This window comes from Homo sapiens, chromosome 11, assembly GCF_000001405.40.
Source record: "Homo sapiens chromosome 11, GRCh38.p14 Primary Assembly".
NCBI lineage: Eukaryota > Metazoa > Chordata > Mammalia > Primates > Hominidae > Homo > Homo sapiens.
The window spans coordinates 59,349,399-59,372,455 of NC_000011.10; the positions used below are offsets into that span (position 1 = coordinate 59,349,399).

Genomic DNA, 23,057 nt, shown 5'->3' on the forward strand with positions numbered 1-23,057 from the left:
CTGCAGGTCTGTTGGATTTTGCTGGAGGTCCACTCCAGACCCTGTTTGCCTGGGTATCAGCAGCAGTGGCTGCAGAACAGCAGATATTGGTGAACCGCAAATGCTGCTGCCTGATTTTTCCTCTGAAAGTTTTGTCTCAGAGGAGTACCCGGCTGTGTGAGGTGGCAGTATGCCCCTACTGGTGGGTGCCTCCCAGTTAGGCTACTCGAGGGTCAGGGACCCACTTGAGGAGGCAGTCTGCCTGTTCTCAGATCTCAAGCTGCATGCTGGGAGAATAACTACTCTCTTCAAAGCTGTCAGAGAGGTACATTTAAGTCTGCAGAGGTTACTGCTGTCTTTTTGTTTGTACGTGCCCTGCCCCCAGAGGTGGAGCCTACAGAGGCAGGCAGGCCTCCTTGAACTGTGGTGGGCTCCACCCATTTTGAGCTTCCTAGCCACTTTGTTTACCTAATCAAACAACTAACTCGGCAATGGCGGGTGCCCCTCCCCCAGCCTCACTGCTGCCTTGCAGTTTGATCTCAGACTGCTGTGCTAGCAACAAGTGAGGCTCCATGGACCTTCCGAGCCAGGTGCAGGATTTAATCTCCTGGTGTGCCGTTTGTGAAGCCCTTTGGAAGAGTGCAGTATTAGGGTGGGAGTGACCTGATTTTCCAGGTGCCATCTGTCAGCCATTTCTTTGACTAGGAAAGGGAATTCCCTGACCTCTTGGGCTTCCCAGGTGAGGCAATGCCTCGCCCTCCTTGGGCTCATGCATGGTGTCCTGCACCCACTGTCCTGCACCCACTGTCTGGCACTCCCCAGTGAGATGAACCCAGTACCTCAGTTGGAAATGCAGAAATCACCCATCTTCTGAGTCGCTCACGCTGGGAGCTGTAGACTGGAGCTGTTCCTATTTGGCCATCTTGGCTCCACCCTCTGTTTTCTCTATTCTTGTCTGACTGTCTTATTTCAGAAAGCCAGTCTTCAAGCTCTGAGATTCTTCTTCTGCTTTGCCTATTCTGCTATTAATATTTGTGATTGCATTATGAAATTATTGTAATGTGTTCTTAGCTCTATCATGTCAATTATATGCTTTTCTATACTGGCTAGTTTGTCTGTTAGCTCTTGCATCATTTTATTGTGATTCTTATCTTCCTTGGTTTGGGATTCAACATACCCCTGCATCTCAATGACCTTTGTTCCTATCCATACTTTTAATTCTAGTTCACTCATTTCAGCTATCTCAACCCTGTTCATAACCCTTGCTGGAGAGGTGGTGTAGTCATTTGGAGAAGAGAAGGCACTCTGACTTTTTGATTGTCAGAGGTCTTCTGCTGGTCCTTTCTCATCTTTGTGGGCTGATGTTCCTTCAATCTTTGATGTTGCTGACTTTTCAATTGATTTTTTATCCTATTTGGTGACCTTGAGGTTTTCATGGAAGTATAAGGTGAAGTCAACCAACTGGCTTCATTTTTGGAAGATTTTAGGGAGCCAACACTCGGCTACCAATTCCTGGACTGCATAATCTAACTCTGGGGCACTTGTATTGGGCCCTGACTTTGTTCTCTGGCTTCTTGAAGTTAAGAATCCCCTATGCTGAGGGGACAGAGGTGCTTCCAGACTGTTGGTCACTACACTCTGATGGGTGGTGTCAGCCAAAGCACTTCATAGTGCATTGGCAGTGGGATCTGTCCTCATTCTCACATGTGAGCAGCAAGAGCAGCAACACTACAATGGGGTACACACTCATTGGCTGTGGCAGGGTACTAGCAGGTGCCAGGTTACTTGTCTCCATATGGGTGTTACTCACAGTGGCAGAGGCAGAATGGCTCTGGGGGCATTGGGGCACCTGATGGTGACTGTGCACATGGTCATGCTGCTGGTGGTGTTAGAACAGGGACAAGTCATTGGTGGGCACAGGTCTGTGTATTTTCACTGAGTGCTGCAGGCAGCAGTGGTCACTCTGGACAATGGAGTGTCCACTGTCCTCTGTGCCTACTTTCACTCTCATGGAAGTCTTGGTGCAAGGGTAGGGTCCTGGTGGGGCAGGGATGTCTGGCTCTATGTCTCCCAAGGCTCCTACTGCAATGGTGGTCAGGTAGGGGAAAAGGGGAGGTGTGCACTCCCACCACAATAGTGGCAGGGCAAAGTGCACACACATAGGTGTGCTGGTGAGGCAAGGAAGGCAAAACCCACTAGGCACACCTGCACTGAAAAAGCGATGTTGGGGGTTGCTATGAACACAGGGGAAGCTGCAGTTTGGGGAGGGAGTAGGCAGGCTGATGTATGGCAGTAGGGGCTGTCTCTCTTGAGTTCTCTGCTGGTTGAGCATGATCTGCCAGCACAGAAGCTGTAATGTGAACCCCTAGGGCACCCAAGGCTTTCCTGAAAGCCAGCCTGGAGTTCTGCAAGAGGCCAGCAAACCAAGGTGCTCAGGTCAAACCAGACCCATCTGATAGGCACAACCACACTGCAGAGTTCAGGTCCAACAGTTCCACTAGGGCTAAATTCTCTTATGGAAGCAAGCCCAGCCAAGGGAGATGAGCTTCTCTCACCCTGCTCCACTACAGATGCTTCCACATTATATCCTCTGGGTTCTGCTTCAGCTGGAATCCTGCCCCTATCGCTTCTCTAAACATCTCTCACAGCCAACTCAAGCATCTGTAGTGGTCAAGGGGTCTCCTCCTTTTGGGATTCCCAAGGCCCATGGTGTGAGTGGGTTGCTCCTGGCCACTTCAACTCACCCATTCCCCTTGGATCACTGGGAGCCAGAAACAAGTCCTGGTGCATGGTAACCAGGTGCAGTGTTCCCAGCTTCCTCCCCCTTCAAGTCACCTTCTGTGTCTTCCCTCTGTCCACTCTCAGTGCCTTCCCTCTGTAGATCTGTTAGGAGTATGCCAGTCATCTTGGTCTCTCAGTGACAGCTGTTCCACCTGACTGTGTCTAGTTGGCCTTCTTGTGCTCTCTGCAGTTTGCTAGTATTTCATTGAAGATTTTTGTATCAAAATTCTAGTTGCATCAGAGGTATTTGGCCAAAGTTTTCCTTTCATGTAGTGTCTTTGTCTGACTTATGTACCAAGGTAATGCTGACCTCATAAAGTGTGTTTGAAAGTATTTTCTCTGTCTTTCTTTTTTAGATGAGTTTGAGAAGTATTGGTAATAATTCTTCTCTGAATGTTTGGTAGAATTCAGCTATGAAACCATCTAGACCCAGGCTTTTCTTTGTTGGAAGGTTTTTAATTACTACTTCAGTTTATTTGTCGTTGGTCTGTTTAGGCTTTCTATTTCTTCCTGGTTCCATCTTGGTAGGTTATACTTTTCCAGGATTTTATCCACTTCCTCTAGTGTTATCCAACTTGTTGGCACATAATTGTTCATAATTGTTCCTTTTATTTCTGAGGTGTCTGATGTAATGTCTCCATTTTCATTTATGATTTTATTTATTTGAGTTTTCTCTTTTTTCTGTTACTCTAGTTAAGGGTTTGTCAATTTTGTTTATTTCAAAGAAGCAACCTTTGTTTTATCAATTTTTTCCTATGGTGTTTCTGTTTTTTATTTATTTAATTTATTTCTGTTCTAATATTTATTATATCCTTTCTTCTGCTGAGCTTGAGTTTAGTTTGTTTTCTTATCTAGTTCCTTGAAGCATAATATTAGGTTATGTATTTGGGATCTTTTTTAATGTAGTCATTTATTGCTATAAACATCTCTCTTAGAAATGTTTCTGCTGTATCCCACAGGTTTTGTCATGTTGTACTTCCATTGTTTTTTGTCTCAAAATATTTAAATTCTCTTTTGATTTCTTCTGTGAGCTATTAGTTGTTCAGGATCATGTTGCTTAATTTTCACGTATTTCTGAATTTTCCAAAATTCCTCCTGTTAATGATTTCTAGTTTCATACTGTTGTGGTCAGAAACAATACTAAATATAATTTCAATATTCTTGAAGTTGTCAAGACTTGTCTCATGGCCTAACATTTGGTCTATCCTGAAGAATGTTTCATGTGCACTAGAGAATGTTTATTATGCTGCTGTTGAATGGAAAGTTTTGTATATATCTGTTAGGCCCATTTGGTCTGAAGCAAAATTCAAGTCCAATATTTCCTTGTTTATTTTTTCTCTGGTTGACCTATCCATTATTGAAAGTGGAGTATTGGAGTTCCCTACTATTCTTGCATTGCTATCCATTTCTTTCTTTATGTCCATTAATATTTGCTCTATATATGTAGGTACTCCAATCTTGGGTTCATATATATTTACAATTGTTATGTTTCCTTGATGAATTGATTGCTTTATTACTAAATAATGACCTTCTTTGTCTCTCGTGAAAATTTTTGATTTGAAGTCTATTTTACATTATGTAAGTATAGCCACTTCTGTTCTCTTTAGGTTACTATTTGCATAAAATATCTTTTTTCATTCTTTCATTTTCTGCCTGTGTGTCTGTAAGCTAAAATGGCAAGCTTTGAACACTTATGTTATTAAATAAGACTTCTGTGACTTTTTCTCTTCTCTTTACGGGCCTTCCATAATCAAAAAAAAAGTTTACTTAATGATATTCCATAAGTCCTGTAGGCTGTCTTCCCTCTTTTTTTTTTCTTTTTGCTTTTTTCCCCCATGATTGGATTATTTCAAATGACCTGTGTTCAACTTCACATATTCTTTTTTGCTTGGTCAAGTATGCTGTTGAAGACTTCAATTGTATTTTTAATTGCATTCATTCAGTTTTTTAGCCCCAAGATTTGTGTGTGTTTTTTTCTTAATGGTATCTATCTCTTTGTTGAACTTCTCATTTAGATGATAAATTGTGCTCCTGATTTTATTGAATTATATATCTATATTGTCCTGTACCTTGCTAACTTTCCTTAAGATCTCTATTTTAAATTTATTTTCAGCCAATTCGTAAGTTTTTATTTCTCTGGAGTCAGTTACCAAAACTTTACCATGTTACTTTGGTGGTGTTATGTTTCCTTGCCTTTTCATGTTTCCTGTGTCCCTGCATTGATGTCTGAGCATCTGGTAGAGCAGTCACTTATTCCAAATTTATAGTTTATGTAGAGTTTCACCTGAAGATGGGTCCTAGGGTGTCAGTTGGGAGGGTGTGTTGGCTCTGGTGCTGGATGAGCCCAGTAGTGTAGTCTGTGTGAAGCTTCTTTAGCTATGGTTAACATCAGTAATGACTACAGGTACCTCAGTGGCCTAGGATGCAGGTATTTTGGGCAATGGTTTTGGCACTGAAGATTATTAGAGTTTTAGTGGCAAAGGTGTTAAGAGTCGTCCTGTTCTTATTTTCCCCATAGTGAAGAACCTTAGCTGAGAGAATCACTCATGGTATTGAGTCTGACATGGATCACAAGCAGACTCACTGAAACTGTGTAACAGTATTTCCAATGGCTGTGGACCTGGGATTCTGTGCTCAGTGTCTTGCTGAACTACTGTGGCACCTGTAATGTGGGCTCAGGTTCCCTCTCTGGAACATAGGTAAACACAGCTCTCCAACAAATCTAGGGGCTGTGACTCTGAGGCATTGCCCAATAGCCTAGTCCCAAAAAGCAGGGATGTAGCTGTGACTCTGATCCTGGGAATCAGGCTACAGCACTGACACAGCTCTAAGGAAGAAGGGGTGTTCCAGAGGCTCAAGCCATGGCTAGCAGGGCACAACAGTCAGTCCCCACACTAATGGGGCACAGTATCAACTTGGGCACCAGGGGAGTGGGTATCTTGTAGTGATGACTCTGGAAGTAGGAAAAGGCAGTAGCCTAGGCTCCATAAGCCTCGGTGCAGCAGCAGCAAGAACTCAGGAATGATGGGGTAGAGCTGTGATTTATTCTCTGGGGCTTGAGGAGCAGGGCAACAATGGTCCTACTCCCTAGGGAGGCAGGGAGCCTCAGCATGTCAGATTCTGGAAGGGAATCAGATTCAGGGAGGTGGGGATCTGTGGCTGTTTGACCCAGACAGCAGGAGTCACAGCTCAGCCAAGGCTCTGTTTCCCTGGAGACCGGGACACCACATCAGTTCAGGTGCCTGGGAGGTGGCTGCTTCACTGGGCCCTAGGCCTGGGGCCCCACAGGGCTGGGTGTGTGACTAATCCACAGGGCCAGGATTGCTGGTCCCCAAAGGACAGGATTCTGTCTTGACTCAGGCAGGGTGGCTCTGCTATACTGGACTCTGGGTCGCCAAGAGACAGGCACCACGTGAGCTTAGTTACTCGGGTACAGTTGCTCTGCTATAGGGGCAGAAGGTCAGATTCCTGAAGGAGCAGAAGCCACTAGGCAGAGGTGCAGGCCTGTGACTGCTCCACTGGGCCTGAACTTCTGGTTCCTGGCAGGCAACATGCCACATCAGCTTGGGCACCTGGGGCATGTGGCTTCTCTGCTGGGCACAGGCTTTGAGTAGCCAAGGGATGAAATGTAGCAGCAAATGGGATAGGGGAGATTGTCAGGTTGTTCCCAGACAGTATGAAGCTGCATCAGCTTGTTCCTAGGGCATAGGAAGATTAAGCAGCTTGTTCTTAGGTGACAGGTAGCTGCAGCAGCTCAGCTGGTAAAAGGTGCACTGCCGTGTGTGTGCACTGCCGTGTGTGAGCAATAATGGCAGAACCTGAGGGATGAAGGGGTGCAGTGGCTATGGGCCCTTGGAACAATAGCTCCAGTTTCAGGATTGCACAGTAGCAGTTTGGACCGCAGAGAGTGCATATGAGATGGGCTCCACCTCTGGAGTCGTACAGCCTTTGGAACTCCAGGCAGCCTAAGCTGGGCACAGGGCCTATGAGGACTGCAGGACTCATAAGTAGTGAAAACTGTAGGTGTCCATGACAGTGATGGGGGCTGCTGTGGCCTTCTGCTTACCTTTTCCTCACTGGGAGAAACCCACTCCTGGTTCCGAGCTGATCCCCACTGGAGGGAATGGGTGGCAGAAGCAAGGTGGTTTCTTCCTGCTCTAGGTGGCCATCCTGAGTTACTGTGCACTGCAAAATTTCCACCACTCCCTTGCTGTACTCCCGCATTCTCCTTTAGTCAGTCTGGTCAAATTGTGGCTGCTTGTTGTTTTGGTACTTTTTTATGGGGGTGATGAACAGTAGCCACCTGTAATTGACCATCTTGCTAACATTACTCTGAATCTGTTCATTTATTTTATTTTTAATTGTTAAGCATTTATTTATATTCCAATACAAATAAAATAACACAATGTATAAAATAAAATATTTACATCCAAGCAAAGACAGGAAGAGAGTAAGTGAATGAAAGAGAGAAATAGAGAAGAGGAGAAGAGGGCATGAAAGGGGAGTGAAGAAGAGAGGAGAGGAGAGGGGAGGGGAGGGGACCAAGGTGCAGGAGGGCAATATTTGTTTGGGTTTATTCCCAAATAACCCAGTTCCTTCCACCTTACCCTTTGAGTCCACAGAAGGAGGTAAATTTTTTTTTAAAAAAAGTAGGGGAGAAAAAAATGGTAGGTGGAAAGGGCCACTTTTAAGGTGAAGAGTTGGGGAGATTTCTAGAGGTGCAAGGAAGTCAAAGCCAGCAATTTCTTGGCAAAGGTACACCTGGAGCATGCTTCATGGTAGCCTCCCAGAGACTGCGCAAAACCTCAGAAATGATGGCTATCATGGTATGTGTAGCGAGGATGGACCCAAGTACCTGAGGCCTGAGCCTCCCAGGGATTCCAGGGCCTTAAGTTTGACCAGGGAGCAGCAGAAGCACCAGATCTAGGGGTATCATGGAGGCTCGGAGACTGACCGAGATAACTTTTTTAAATGTGTAAGAGATATTTCTCTAGTCTAGAGTTTATGTACTAAATTTCATTGATATTACATTAGCATTTATACAACATTTTACAACACTTCATGTAGTTGCATCACATAGATTTGATTTTTCCTATACCCACATGAGATTGGCAGGTGAGAAATTATCCCGATTGCAGATGGAATATTTAGGTATACTGAGGCCTGTCATCCTCTTCTCATTGTAGGTAACAATATATCTCAAACCTCACAAAGTGTGAGTTATGGAATATAATAGTTCTTATTGGTCCAAAATAATCCCACTATTGGTTAGCCACTGTGCCTAAACTCCATACTTTTGGTGTTATTCTTAAAAATAACAGCAAATCTTAAGAAGCTATTTATTTTAAGATTCCACATATAAGTGAAATCTATAGTTAATACTATTGTACTTAGGGTTTTTGCTAAATGAGACTTTAGCTGCCCTTGCCACACACACACACACAAACTGGGTAACTATGTGCAATGATGGATATGTTAATTTGCTTCACTATAGTAACCACTTTACTGTCGATATGTATGTTATAACATCATGTTGTACACTTTGATTATATACAATAAAATTTATTTTTTTAAAAAAGCTATTCAGTTTAAGGGATTGTATTCTTATAGTCCTTATGGGAGGAAAACATATCAGTACTCATTCATTAACAAGAGTTAGATCATTAACTTATTGCCACCACCCATCCATTTCTTCCTTTAAGTAAGATTTGCTGAGGTAGATCAAACTGAGAATGGGACCTTGTCCAAAACATTTCTATATCCCTTGCAACTGCAAAGATAAATGAGCTTCCTCTCCCCACCCCCAAATAAACCCAAAATGTTTGTAGAAATGACCATAAGTAGATATTTTTAATGAAGAATTTTAACAAAGGATAGAAATACAGCATAATATGTTGGAAAGATCTCCAAATCAAAACATGTAAGTTATATCTACTATTAAACAGAAAGCATGATTTATACTACATACTCTGATAAGTGCTTTATAGTCTTTATCCAATTTAATTCTCAATGAAAACCTACCCTGTGAAGTAGCTATTACTGTTAGCCCCATTTTACAGGTGAAAACACTGAGGCTTAGAGAGGTTAATTTGCTCAAGGTCACACAAGTAGCAAGTGGCCAGCCAAAATTCAACCCAAATTGTATGATATCAATACCCACAGTCATAACCATGAGAAGCCATGGCTTTGTTATGAATTAATCTTATTGTATTCCTTAGTGCCTCAATTTCCTCACTTATGCATGGGAAATAATGCCATGTCTGCCTTGCAGGACTGCTGTGATAATTGACTCAAGTCAGGTATTTGAGGAAATATGTATGTAATTGCCTAGAATGAAAGTGTTTTGTAAGCAGAGAAGCATGCACATATCAAATTTATTGCTATCAAGCTATATTACTGGCTAGGGCGTCATCTTGGGCAAACTCTTCAGCACTCTGGTCTCAGATTTTTCACCCAGAAATTGAGAGTTTTGGACTAGATGGTCCCTATCTTCTTTCCAACTCCAATGACTTCAAGTTTTGTAAAAAGTTGCAATCCTGACATCATGATAAGACGATAGGGAAATAGGGAATTGACCCACATAGCAAAGTGGGGCGTGAGATCAGCAGGGACAAAAACTCCATGACAACCATGGCACCAGAGAGCAAGTACCTGGCATGCTTTCTCTCTCTAATTGGCTTTTCTCCTTTCATCTCTGCTCTCAGAGACACATTTAAAATGATCCCCACTTGAGGCCATCTCTCTTGCTGTGAGTGGACAGCCAATTTTGTGGTCAAACATGCCCATCTTGGAGTGTGATACGCCCACCTGAAAAATTCCATTGGAAAAGAAATAAGCAATTTCAACCTTTGGCAAGAACCCTGTCTTCTTGGAGGACCTGGGTAAAGGTCACAGGACAAGACTTAGAACAGTGGATTCTGTACCGTCTCAATATCCATGTAATTCTTCCAGTAAGGATACACATGGAACAGAGTTTATGGTCCTCAGTCTCTCTCATTCTTCAACTCTTCCCACTTCCTCACTTCCACATTCTGTACCTAAAGCTCTTCGTTGGATTCTCTTACTCCTTACTCAACCTTCTGTAAAAAGAAAAACCTCAAACATAAAATTTCAGGTATTATTCTGGAGTGAGGGATGGGTATTGAATTCTTAAGGATGTGACCTTGAACACTGCTATCTTCTTCTTTTTCACCTGTAAAATGGGGATGTTGGGATAAACTACAGTCAAATATATGTTGTCTATAAAGCCTGAAAAATGCATCAAAAATAGTAATTTACTGAGTTTCAGAGGAATTTCCTCAGATCAAAACCTGCTTGGGTATGTTTCCCAGTTTTCTCCACCCCAAGGACCCTTTTAATTTAATTTTTGCTCTTCAGGATTCTGTTTTCAAAATGCTAATAATTAACTTGATTCTGTTTAAATACATAGCTTTGATTTATGATCTCTGAATAGCAAGAGACACACTGAGTCTTAATGATATGACGGAGTACTCCTATATAAGGCTGTTAGAACTTCTGAAATACTTCAAATTGCTCTCTGTTGTAATTTTTGGAGACCCTGGGATCTGAAGACACTGTCCTGGGCAACACAGATATCAGAGATACCCACTCCAAGCACAAGAAGTGTTGCTTTAAATATTCTTTGTAATCTTCTTGTACATATATTGTTCTTTATTGAGCAACGTTTCTGGGTTTACCTGATTTTGTACCCTGCACAACTTTGCAAACTGACCATGTCCTTATTAGATTAGCACTGGATAGGATTTTGATCACCTATATTCATCTAGTAAAATCTTTAACCTATCTTTACATCAATTATCTTTTCCTATGCGAATTGTCTCAGGAGATGGTGAACATATGCAAGGAATTAATCAAAGAGAGTGAATGTATCCAGAGTTTTTTCTCTTTTTCTCTAGCTTATCAAATGTCAACAAGGTAAGTTTTCAGGATAAATTTTATCATGAATAAGAAAAGCAATCCACAACTCCTTGTTCTTTACTGGAAATGGTAGATTACATAGAGTACATTTAATTATGTCTGCCTGTGTCACCAGAATGTAATAAAAAAGTAAAGAGTTTCAGTGCAACCAATTGATCAACAATTTGACTTATTGTCACTGAATTGACCAGTTATATTCATGTTTGGGGGATGTTATCTGTGAGAGCTTATATTTTAAAAATATTTCCATTAAATCTAACTCACCTTGGATAACATATCTGAGATATTGTATTAGAGGGTTTTTTTATTTTTGAATCTTTTTTTCATTTTTATTTTTATTTTAAGTTCTGGGGTACTTGTGCATGATGTTCAGGTTTGCTACATAGGTAAATGTGTTTCATGGTGGTTTTCTGCGCCTATCAACCCATCACCTAAGTATTAAGCCCAGCATGCATTAGCTATTTTTCCTAATGCTCTCCCTCCCCTCACTCCACCCCCTGACAGGCCCCAGTGTGTGTTACTCCTCTCACTGTATCCATGTGTCCTCATAGTTCAGCTCCCACTTGTAAGTGAGAAGATATAGTGTTTGGTTTTCTGTTCCTGCACTAATTTGCTGAGGATAATGACTCTGCATTCGTTTGCTGAGGATGATGGCTTCCAGCTCCATCCATGTCCCTGCAAAGGACATGATCTCATTCCTTTTTATGGCTATTCTAAGAGTAAACAGAAAGATTTCCAAGTTAACAAAACCATAATGGAAATAAAAATAAGATTTTCTTAGTTTGACATCCAAGCCTGAGTGAAAGAACCATTTATTAATGTGTTAGACACAAACTTGTTGAGTTCTGCAAATATTAGTATATACAATGCTTAGCATTAAGTAACCAAACGTCTCTACTTATAGGTGTGCTCTGTATAGTCAGCTTTCTCAGCTTGAGGGTACTTGGTGGTACTGGAACAAAAAGCAGCATCAGGAGTTGACAATTCAGCTGTGTGGGAGATAACACAATACTACAAGATAGAAAGAAGTACAATCATTTGTCAACAATATCTTTAGTCTGGTTTAGAAATCATAAATAATTTTATTAAGAGGTCCTTGATACTTCAGTACTAGTTCTTCCTTTATTCCCCTTTAAGAGAGAAGTGATGATGGGAATGATCATTGCTAACATTTTTTGAGGCCTTAGTGTTTTTGTTTTTTGTTTTGAGGAGTCTCGCTCTGTTGCCCAGGCTGGAGTGCAGTGGCACAATCTCGGTTCACTGCAACCTCTGCTTCCCAGGTTCAAGCAATTCCCCTTCTCAGCCTCCCAAGTAGGTGGGACTACAGGCGTGCGCCACAAAGCCTGGCTAATTTTTGTATTTTTCAAAGAGGAGGAGCTTTACCATGTTAGCCAGACTGGTCTCAAACTCCTGACCTCAGGCAATCCACCTGCCTCGGCCTCCCATAGTGCTGGGATTATAGGTCTGAGCCACCGCGTCTGGCTGAGGCCTTATTGTTTTAAGCCCTTTATGTCATTTCCATCCTTGCAACAACGCTTTGAGGTTTAATGATTATCAGCTTCACATATAGATGAAGCAACTGAGGTAAAGAGAAGTTAATCATGTGCTAAACATCGCACAGCCTGCAAGTAAGATTCAGGAAAGTCTACTCTCTCACATTCTATCTCTTTCTCCCCCTTTTTCTCTGTCCTCTCTCTCTCTTCCTTCTTCTCCCCCTTTCTCCACCCTATTAATGATTTTTACATTTAATAATATTTTTATCATAAATGCAGAAGCTGTAGGAAAACAAGAGAATACAGATAAGTATAAAGAAGAAAATCAAAATGATACCATCCATTAATTTTAATGTTTGACATTATAAATGGTTTGTAAGGAGTGTGTGTGTGTTTGTGTGTGTGTGTGTGTGTGTGTGTGACAGAGAGAGAGAAGAGAGCGGGGGATTGGAGAGAGAGCTCATGCATGCAAAAGAGTTTATAAAAAGCACATAATTTTTCTCCAGAAAAGTAGAATTACCTTGTGCACTCATCAGTGGTCATATGAGTGCCCATTCCTTACTGATTTATGCAATATCTTATATATTAAGGTAATAATTATATTGTCTTTTTCTGTCTTATCACTATTTTCCCCCATTCATCAACTGTCTTTCAAATATGCTTTATGTAAGAGTTTTTCTGCCGTAACCAAGTTTTAAATTGCTTTGCCATATTTTTTCTCTTATAATTTCTGTTTTAGTGTTATTTTTCAGGAATATCACTTCCATCCCAAGATTATATAAATACACATCTATTTATTCCTCAAATACTCTTTTACCCATAGTGAGGCAGGTCTCACAGACCATTTATAGAAGAGTTTGTTCTTTCACTGTCAACCAAAAATACTTTTTCATATATAAAATTCTTACCAACACACATTTATTTATGAAATTTTTATTTGTTCTTTTGGCATGTCTATTATTATAAGAATAATGAATTATCAATGTTCAAAATACTTTTTAATATCTGAAAGTTAAAATCCTTTCTAATTATTCATCTTTTTCAAAATTGTCTTGGCTATTATCTATCATTGGTTTGCTCTTTGATCTCAAGAAAGGACAGTCTGAGTATGGAGCAGAGTGAATGTACACTATCTATGCATACCTTTGGTTGCTGCAATTACTTTTACACCAACCTAATACTATAAGTCTGTTGGTAAGCTCTGACTTGCTGATTGAATCTACCAAAAAATAAAAAGATATACCTCTGTATTATTAGAGAATTGAAATATTTACTTTGACCTTTTTCCTAGTTCAAGATCCATCATAATTTGATGCTGGTTTTCCACTGACCTAGTGTACCCAAAGTCAAGCAAACTGAAGAAAAAATGGCTTATATCATTATGGCTCTAGGTGGCTTGACTGGCATGGACACTAGGTCTCAATCTACACCTGCCTGGAGGCAATGAGGCCTGGCTGTCTATAGGGCTGATGTTGTCTCATGAATTTCCTCAAATTAACCCATGAAAATATTACTTTTCACATTCCTACCCACAGGTATACCTGTCACTCATGATTATCTGTAAGCAGTCCATGATAACAATAGCCATTCTCTGTTGAACAATTGCTGTATACGTAAATGTGTGCTAAGTTTTTGCATGAATTTTCACTTACAGCCTTCCCAGTAACCTGGGAAGTTAGAAGCTTTTATTGTCCTTACATTATTAGTAGTAAATTAAGCTTAATGTTTTTATGTCACTGGTACAAGTTAATAGAAGAAGAAGGTATTGGAAATAAACTCCAAAGTCTGAACCCTTAGCCACATTACTATGCTGTTTCCCAGATACTCTAAAATTGAGACAATAGTTGGGGCCAAGAGTGAGCTGCACTAGCCTCCTTCTGGAATGCTTTGTATTAAGGCTTCCCTGAGAAAACTTATTCCAAAACTTTATTGGACACCCACGCTCTGTCTGCCTCAAAATATTATCAGAATTTATGATATTATTGTTAAGGCCAGTTTGGATATGTTATATTAAATACATTTTTATTAAAATAGGAGAAGTTATTATAAACAGGGAAAGCAATTTTTCTAAAGGGTAAAATAAAAAGTATTTTAAATCTACTTAGATAACAATCCAGGGCAGGACTGTTGTCCATCAAATATATTTTGGAAGGATGCCATTTAAACTTTCATAATTTTTGTTGTTGTTGTTGAAACAGAGTCTCACTCTGTTGCCTAGGCTGGAGAGCAGCAGCATGATCTCACCTCACTGCAACCTCTGCCTCCTGGGTTCAAGTGATTCTCCTGCCTCAGCCTCAGGAGTAACTGGGATTACAGGTCTGTGCAACCACGCCCAGCTAATTTTTGTATTTTTAGTAGAGATGGGGTTTTGCCATTTTGGCCAGGCTGGTCTCAAACTCCTGATCTCAGGTGATCCACCCACCTCAGCCTCCCCAGGTGCTAGGATTACAGGCATGAGCCACTACGCCCAGCCTAAGCTTTCATAATTTTAAAGCAACAGTTATATAATGAATCACCAGAGGTCTTTTTGAAGAAAAACTATTATCTTAATTAGTGATCTTTACCTTATACGTAATACTCTCAGCATTTCTATAGCATATTTTTTAAAAATTACCAGTCAACTTTTAAAATATATTTTTAATTCTCATGATACTCCATGAATTAATCAAGAACCTGAAGCATTGTGCAGGTACATGCTGACAATTCAAGAAAGGCTGGGGTCTTTCCATCAGAAGAGTGAAACATTTGTCCATTTCCAGTGCTTGTTGGAAGAAAAGATGTACACATATGAAGACGGTAATGTTATCACTTCAACTGAGTTAGCAATCCATTCTCTTGTCTCCTTTCTGATATTAGGAGCACTGAGCCAATGACTGGGGGAGGAAATATTACAGAAATCACCTATTTCATCCTGCTGGGATTCTCAGATTTTCCCAGGATCATAAAAGTGCTCTTCACTATATTCCTGGTGATCTACATTACATCTCTGGCCTGGAACCTCTCCCTCATTGTTTTAATAAGGATGGATTCCCACCTCCATACACCCATGTATTTCTTCCTCAGTAACCTGTCCTTCATAGATGTCTGCTATATCAGCTCCACAGTCCCCAAGATGCTCTCCAACCTCTTACAGGAACAGCAAACTATCACTTTTGTTGGTTGTATTATTCAGTACTTTATCTTTTCAACGATGGGACTGAGTGAGTCTTGTCTCATGACAGCCATGGCTTATGATCGTTATGCTGCCATTTGTAACCCCCTGCTCTATTCATCCATCATGTCACCCACCCTCTGTGTTTGGATGGTACTGGGAGCCTACATGACTGGCCTCACTGCTTCTTTATTCCAAATTGGTGCTTTGCTTCAACTCCACTTCTGTGGGTCTAATGTCATCAGACATTTCTTCTGTGACATGCCCCAACTGTTAATCTTGTCCTGTACTGACACTTTCTTTGTACAGGTCATGACTGCTATATTAACCATGTTCTTTGGGATAGCAAGTGCCCTAGTTATCATGATATCCTATGGCTATATTGGCATCTCCATCATGAAGATCACTTCAGCTAAAGGCAGGTCCAAGGCATTCAACACCTGTGCTTCTCATCTAACAGCTGTTTCCCTCTTCTATACATCAGGAATCTTTGTCTATTTGAGTTCCAGCTCTGGAGGTTCTTCAAGCTTTGACAGATTTGCATCTGTTTTCTACACTGTGGTCATTCCCATGTTAAATCCCTTGATTTACAGTTTGAGGAACAAAGAAATTAAAGATGCCTTAAAGAGGTTGCAAAAGAGAAAGTGCTGCTGAGTTTACAGATTCTGAGATTTCTGCCAGATATGGCCCATCAGAATCTCCCTAACCCACAAAATATGATAATGAATGGACTATAACAAAATTCATGCTGCCTACTGCCTTTGGACAAAGAAGGCTTGATTTGATGCACAAAATATGCCAATATGGACCAACAGATGACTCAATGCCACAGACATCAGGATCTTTAGGTCCTGGAGGTTCATTATTTTTATCCTACATCAGGATAAATAATGTGGCCTCATCATTTATGAATTTGTCCAAAATTATTTGTGAAACAACAAGATTTAGAAATCTTTTGTTTCCTGTGGCTTCTCAGATCAAAGATGGCTCAATGTTAGGACTTTGCCACTACAGAAATGAGGCCTGGCACAGACCCCCAGGAGTTCAGAAACATCATCTCCCATATATGCTGATACAGCATAATAAAGACATGGTGGTAACCATTGTTTATTCTGTGTTTCTGGATGGGAAAGAATAAACAGACAGAGGGGTTCTGCCATTGGAAAGGGAAAAAAAAGCAATATATTGGCCTGGTTGTGTCTTTAAGAAAGAGCAACATGAGATAGCTGCAGTTTGCCTAAGACCTCTCTCAGCTAATCATCTAATACATTTTTGGCAATTTCCTTGCCTACACCAGCTGTAGCATAAGAAAGAAGGAGGTGATTTTAATCATGAAGTGGGATAGAAACAAGGATATGGTTCCTGCAATCATATTTACTTATGAGTCTGATGATTTGATTTCTTGTATCTAGAGTCTAGTGGGAAATTATAATGGAGATGATATTCAAAGTTCACAGCCAATAGCAACATCTGATACTGTGGGACTCAAACTTTCTTTTTCTCCCCCATTAAATTTAGAAAATTTACTCTTGTTTGACTGGGTAACTATTGAATCCAGGAGAGGATGAAAGAAACATGGGTCAAATATATTTCAGTCAAGCTCAACCTAGACAAGCTAACCTGCAGTCATGTTCAGAGAAGTCATGCATTTAAGCCTACTCTACATCAGCCAGTCCCAGCTGATCTCCAGATGATCTGAGGATATGTGAGTGATAATAAATGAATGTTGCAGTCAGCACTGGATTTTGCAGTTTGTTATACAGCAGTAGTTAACCAATATACTTCATAATTTAAAATTAAAAATTTTCTCCTTGTCCAAACTGCCTGGCGTAAAATTCAGGCTCTGCCACCCCCAAGGTGTGTGATGCTGGGCAAGCCACACAATCTTTTGTGCCTCAGTTTTCTCATTTGTAAAATTGAGATATTATATATCTATTTTGGAGTTGTTTAGGATTATTGAGCTGATACTTATTCAAAACTCAGAATAGGGACCCCAGCATATAATAAACGCTATACGTGAATCATGTATTATTATTTATTAAGTGCTTTCTATGTTCAAAGAATTTAAATGGTTTCAGTTGAGCTAAGTTTTACTGTTATACCAACTTCACAGATGAATAAACTTAGGCCAGAGAAATTCAGAAACACAGCTAGTAAGTGAAGGGGTGGGAATCCAAACTAACATTGCAGATATCAAAGCCTCCTCCCTTCTTCAATACCCCTTAATGTATAAGGTGCCAAATTGCTTATTAATATACAAGGTACATATGAATAAAATAAAGCAATATTTATGAGATGTAGCCAAAGCTAAAATCAGAAGTAACAATCTTTTGAAAAGAAATACAATAAAGTAACAAAGCTGTGAATCAGAAAAAAATTGAAAAAAGAATGCCAATTCAAACCTTAAGAAAACTAGAGGAGAAGTGGAGGAGTGGGCAAGATGGCTGACCAGAAGCAGCTAGTGTGTGTGGCTGTCATGGAAAGGAACAGAAGGGGTGAGCATTAGGTCTTTGCAACCCTCAAGTCAGGAGATCTCCTTGTGAACCCACTCCACCAGGGCTTTCAGTCTTCAGTCTAATACACAGAGCTATGTGGAGTCTTGGCAGAGCAGCCACTCAGGCCAGCATGGAGTCCTCGAAGGCTTAGATACTTGGGTTTTCTGGTAAAAGTAGCTGCAGCCCCAGCAAAGTTGGAGGTTAGACTCCTGTATATAACCCTAGGAAAGAGGCTGAATCCAGGGGTGTTAACAGCAACAACCCACAGGCCCCACTTCCATGCCACCTCACAAGATAAGATCCACTGGCTTGGAATTCCAGACAGCTACCAGTAGTGGCATTGTACCTCCCTAAGAAGGAGCTCAAAGGGAAGAGCTGGGCTGTCATCTTTGCTGTTCAGATGCCTTAGCTGTTCCGGCCTTTGGGCTTTGAAGAATCTGAGCTGACCCAGGGTGGAAGAGAACCCCCAGCCTAGCACAACACAGCTGCTCTACCCAAACATAGCCAGACTATGCTTTAGGTGGGTGTCCAATCCCATTCCTCTTCACTGGGCAGGACCTCCCAACTGGGGCCTGCAGCCACCCCCACCAAGCTCTCCAGGTGACAAAGATTTGAATTATCCCTGAGATGGCACTCACAGAGGGAGAAGTGGGTTACCATCTTTGCTGTTTTAATGACTTAGCAACTCCAGCCTTTGGGCTTTGAAGTATCTGAGACGACTGAGGACTGAAGTAGACCCCCAACACAGCACAGCTGTTCTACCAAAACGTGGCCAGACTGCTTTTTCAAGTGGTTCCTAATCCTGTTCCTCCTCACTGGGTGGAACCTCTCAACTAGGCTCTCCAGCCACTTCCTACAGCTGCTTTGGGCCACCAAAACTGCATACCTCCCTGGGACAAAGCTCTCAGAGGAAGGGACAAGCCACTGTCTTTGCTGTTTCACAGCCTTCACTGGTGACACCTCCAGGTTCTGGGAAATCTGAGGTGACCAGGTACTGGAGCAGCCCCCAAGCATAAAACAGCAGCCCTATGGAAAAGTGGCCAGAGTGTTTCGTGGGTTTCCATTCCCATATCTTCTCACCAGGAAGATCTTCAGGCCTGGGCTTCCAGCCACCACCAGCCAGAACTATCAAGCCAGTATCAAATCACCAACTCCCTAGACAGAGCTTCCGAGGTCAACAGAAAGTTTCTATGCCACTGCCTCTGCAGTGGAACTGCCCTTGACACGCTCCAACTAATGAATGAGCAAAGACACTAAGTGCTTTATCCACACCTCTAATAATCTGTAGTCAACCCAAGGAGAAGAGGCTGGTCTGTCTCCCACGGGTCCCACACACCCCCCACCACTCATCACCAGACAAAGAACCCCTGGCTTGGGCCCACAACACATACCCTCTATCTTGGGCTGGCTGCACTGAGCGATTGCTGACCTGCATCTCTCTGGGGTGGAGCCCCCAGGAGTCAAACAAATGACCCTTAGCCACAACCATTACGAAGATCTCTTCCACTGCTGTCTCTAAGCTGGGGAAGGAACGTAAACACAAAGATCTCCCCAGAGCTGCAGCAGGCAGCCCAGGAGTGCTGAATCAGGAACTACAGGCAGCACTCAGGGGGAGAGGAAACCACACGTTCTGAGCACTGAGAGGGAACACAGCTGCAAATGTGAGGAAACATAGGGGAGCCACACAACAGAACAAGAGTCTTCCAGCTGTCCTGTAAGCCTAGGTATCACCTACTGAATCACACCTCAAAACTTCAACACCAAAAATATCTCACTAATATATCCCCCTCTGAAACAAGAGATAAGAAGTGAGCATCAAACACAGACCCTACACAAAGCCTTGGCCCAGTGAAAACATCCAGAAAATAAGTTGATTGACTATACTCAAACTACTCTGCAGTTAAAGAAACACCCACATGCAGAGATGAGAAAAAAAAAACAATGTAAGAACTCTGGTAACTCAAATGGCCAAAATATCATATGTCCTCCAAATGATCACACCAGTTCTCCAGCAAAGGTCCTTAACCAGGCCAAACTGGCTAGAATGACAGAAATAGAATTCAGAATATGGATAGAAAAAAAAAGATCATGGAAATTCAGGAGGATGGCAAAATCCAATCCAAGAAAAATAAGAATCACAATAAAGTGACACAGAAGCTGAAAGAAAAATAGCCAGTATAAAAAAGCACTTAGTGGGTCTGACAGAGCTGAATAGCGCAATACAAGAATTCCACAATGCAATCAAAAGTATTAAGAGCAGAATAAACCAAGCTGAGGAAACAATCTCAGAACTTGATGCTGGTTCTCTGAAATAAGACAGTCAGACACAAATAAAGAAAAAAAAAGAAATAAACAAAGCCTCCAAGAAGTATGGGTTATGTAAACAGGCCAAATCTACAAGTAATTGACATCACTGAAAGGGAGGGGAAGGAAGAAAACAACTTGGAAAATATATTTCAGAATATTGTCCATGAAAATATCCCCAACCTTGCTAGAGAGGACAACAGTCAAATTCAGTAAATACAGAGAAGTCCTTCAAGATTCTACACAAGAAGATAATCACCAAGACACATAATCATTATGTTTTCCAAGGTCAAAATAAAAGAATGTTAAAGGCAGCTATAAGGAAAGGGTGAGTCATCTACAAAGGGATCCCCGTCAGGCTAACAGCAGACCTCTCCACTGGTACCCTACAAGCCAGAAGAGTTTGGGGTTTTGTCTTCCACATCCTTAAAGAAAATAGTCTTCAACCAAGAATTTCATATCTAGCCAAACTAAGCTCCTAAGTGAAGGAATAATACAATCCTTCTCAGATAAGCAAATGTTGAGGGACTTCATTACCACCAGACCTGCCTTACAAGAGATCTTGAAAGGAGCAGTAAATATAGAAAGGAAAAACTGCTACCAGCTAATACAAAAACACAGTTAAACACAGAAACCAATGTCACTATGAAGCAACCACACAAACAAGTAAACATAATAACCAGCTGACAGCACAATGACAGAATCAAATGCACACATATCAGTATTAACCTTGAATGTAAATGGGCTAAATGCCCCACTAAAAAGGCACAGAGTGGCAAGCAGGATAAAAAAGGAAGACCCAATGGTATGCTGTCTTCAAGAGACCCGTCTCACATGTAAGACACACACAGGCTCAAAATAAAGGGAAGGAGAAACTTCCATGGCTGATTTGTTACTGTTGCTGCCAAATGTCACAGACTGAAAGAATCAAAATTGTAAAAATTTCTATTCTAACCAATTAATGTATGAATTATGTGAAATACCAATCAAAATCACAACATGCTTGTGGAAACTAAAAGTTGATTATGAAATTAATACAGAAAAGAGCAAAGTATATCCAAGATATTCTTGCCCTTACAAATATCAATGTATTCAGAAGCTATATAAGTGACATAAGCAAGATGGGGAGTCAGGGATCTCAGCCCTCATCACCCACAGAAAACAACTGGACAGCTATCTGTGCATGAAAATTGCTATAGGAAGGCTCTGCAGTCCAGTTAAGGAGCTGCAGCAACACAGTGAAGACAAGTGAATGAACGTGTTAGTCAGAGTTCTCCAGAGAGACAAAACCAATAGGATACATCAGAGGAGTTCCTGAACTCCTTAAAATTGTTGGAAAAATATTCTGTATATATACATCTTTTTTGATCAAAGCTTTACATCATTTGGATTCACAAGAAGGACCATGAGATAACCTCTGTGATAGCTCTAGGCTGTTATCTTGTAGGCTTTTTCTTTTCACATGTCCATGTGTTATCTACACACAATTGGGTTCTTTTGCTTTAATATTTGTGTGTATGTGGAGTATTCCTTTTTCTTTTAAACAAAGGTAAGACTAGACTTTCTCTGAATATGCTATTTGGCAACTTGGTTTTTTTTTTTCCACTAAAGATAGCCTTCCAGGTCAGCACATAAAGATAAACATTTTTAATGTTTGCATAGTGTCCCTGCTTAATATTACATAGAGTAGCTGGGTCATAATTATTTAATCAGTACTCAAAAACATAGTATGAGTGCAAAAATGTTCACTGATTTGGAGAGAAAGATTGTGTTATGGCAAGTTAGAAGAAACAGAATATGTGAAGGTGAGGAATTCAGAGGAACCTCTATAGGTCACCACCTTAGGGAAAAAAAAAGACAAAATAAGGATTGGAAAACTGCAGAATGTTTAAATTTGTTACCACCAAAGCTGAAAGCACAATTTGTGCAGAAGGAGTTACGGTACAGCTAAGGCTAACCTGCATCTATGCTCCAGCTTCCAGGACTCCTCCCTATGCCAGAGACATTATAATAACAGAGAAAACAACAACAACAACAACTTACAAATAAAGGATGTAAAATGAATTATAATACAAGGCAAGGCCACATGTAGTCTAGCTAAGCCCATCTTGAGGGAAGGTCCAGGGACAAATTTGGAAAAAATTATAGGATAGGCAACAGATAAAGGTATGAAGTCATAAAGGAAAGAATTTGAGCAACATATTAAAGAGTAATACTGGTAACTGCCCTGGGTGTGCTTGCCTACCAGACACCCAATCTTGCAAGACTGACATTAAAAGTCTTGCCTCCACTGTTCTTTTTGTCTACAACTCCATTCTTTGAGTTTGGATGGGTGAATGTGTTTCTTGCAATCGCTTTCTAAAGAAGGCATAAATGAATATTACTGCCATTCTCCAGCCTCTGTCCCTATGATCTACCTCTGGCCTACATGCCTTGTTCTGGCCAAACAGAAAAGATGATTGAACTCCAGGGAATAAAAAAGCATGGTGGACTTCTGTTCCAAGATGGCTGAACAGGAACAGCTCTGGTCTACAGCTCCCAGCATGATCGACACACAAGATGGGTAATTTCTGCATTTCCAACTGAGGTACCTGGTTCATCTCATTGGGAACGGTTAGGCAGTGGGTGCAGCCCATGGAGGGCTAGCCAACGCAGGGTAGGGCATCGCCTCACCTAAGAAGTGCAAGGGGTTAGGGGATTTCCCTTTCCTAGCCAAGGGAAGCCATGACAGACTGTACCTGGAAAAAAGGGGACACTCCCTGCTAAACACTGTGCTTTTTCAATGGTCTTAGCAAATGGCACATCAGGAGATTATATCCTGCACATGGCTTAGTGGGTCTATGCCCAAGGAGCCTTGCTCATTGCTAGTGCAGCAGTCTGAGATTGACCTGCAAGGCAGCAGCCTGGCAGGGGGAG

General features: G+C 41.3%; 1 protein-coding gene across 1 annotated transcript; it reads left to right on the plus strand.

The window, feature by feature from the left end:
* Positions 1-9,496: 9,496 nt before the first annotated feature.
* Positions 9,497-22,316, plus strand: OR5AN1 (olfactory receptor family 5 subfamily AN member 1). Its single transcript, NM_001004729.2, has 2 exons — positions 9,497-9,874; positions 15,048-22,316. The coding sequence occupies exon 2, from the start codon at positions 15,061-15,063 to the stop codon at positions 15,994-15,996; it is 936 nt and encodes a 311-aa protein (NP_001004729.1). The 5' UTR covers positions 9,497-9,874; positions 15,048-15,060; the 3' UTR covers positions 15,997-22,316.
* Positions 22,317-23,057: the final 741 nt, after the last annotated feature.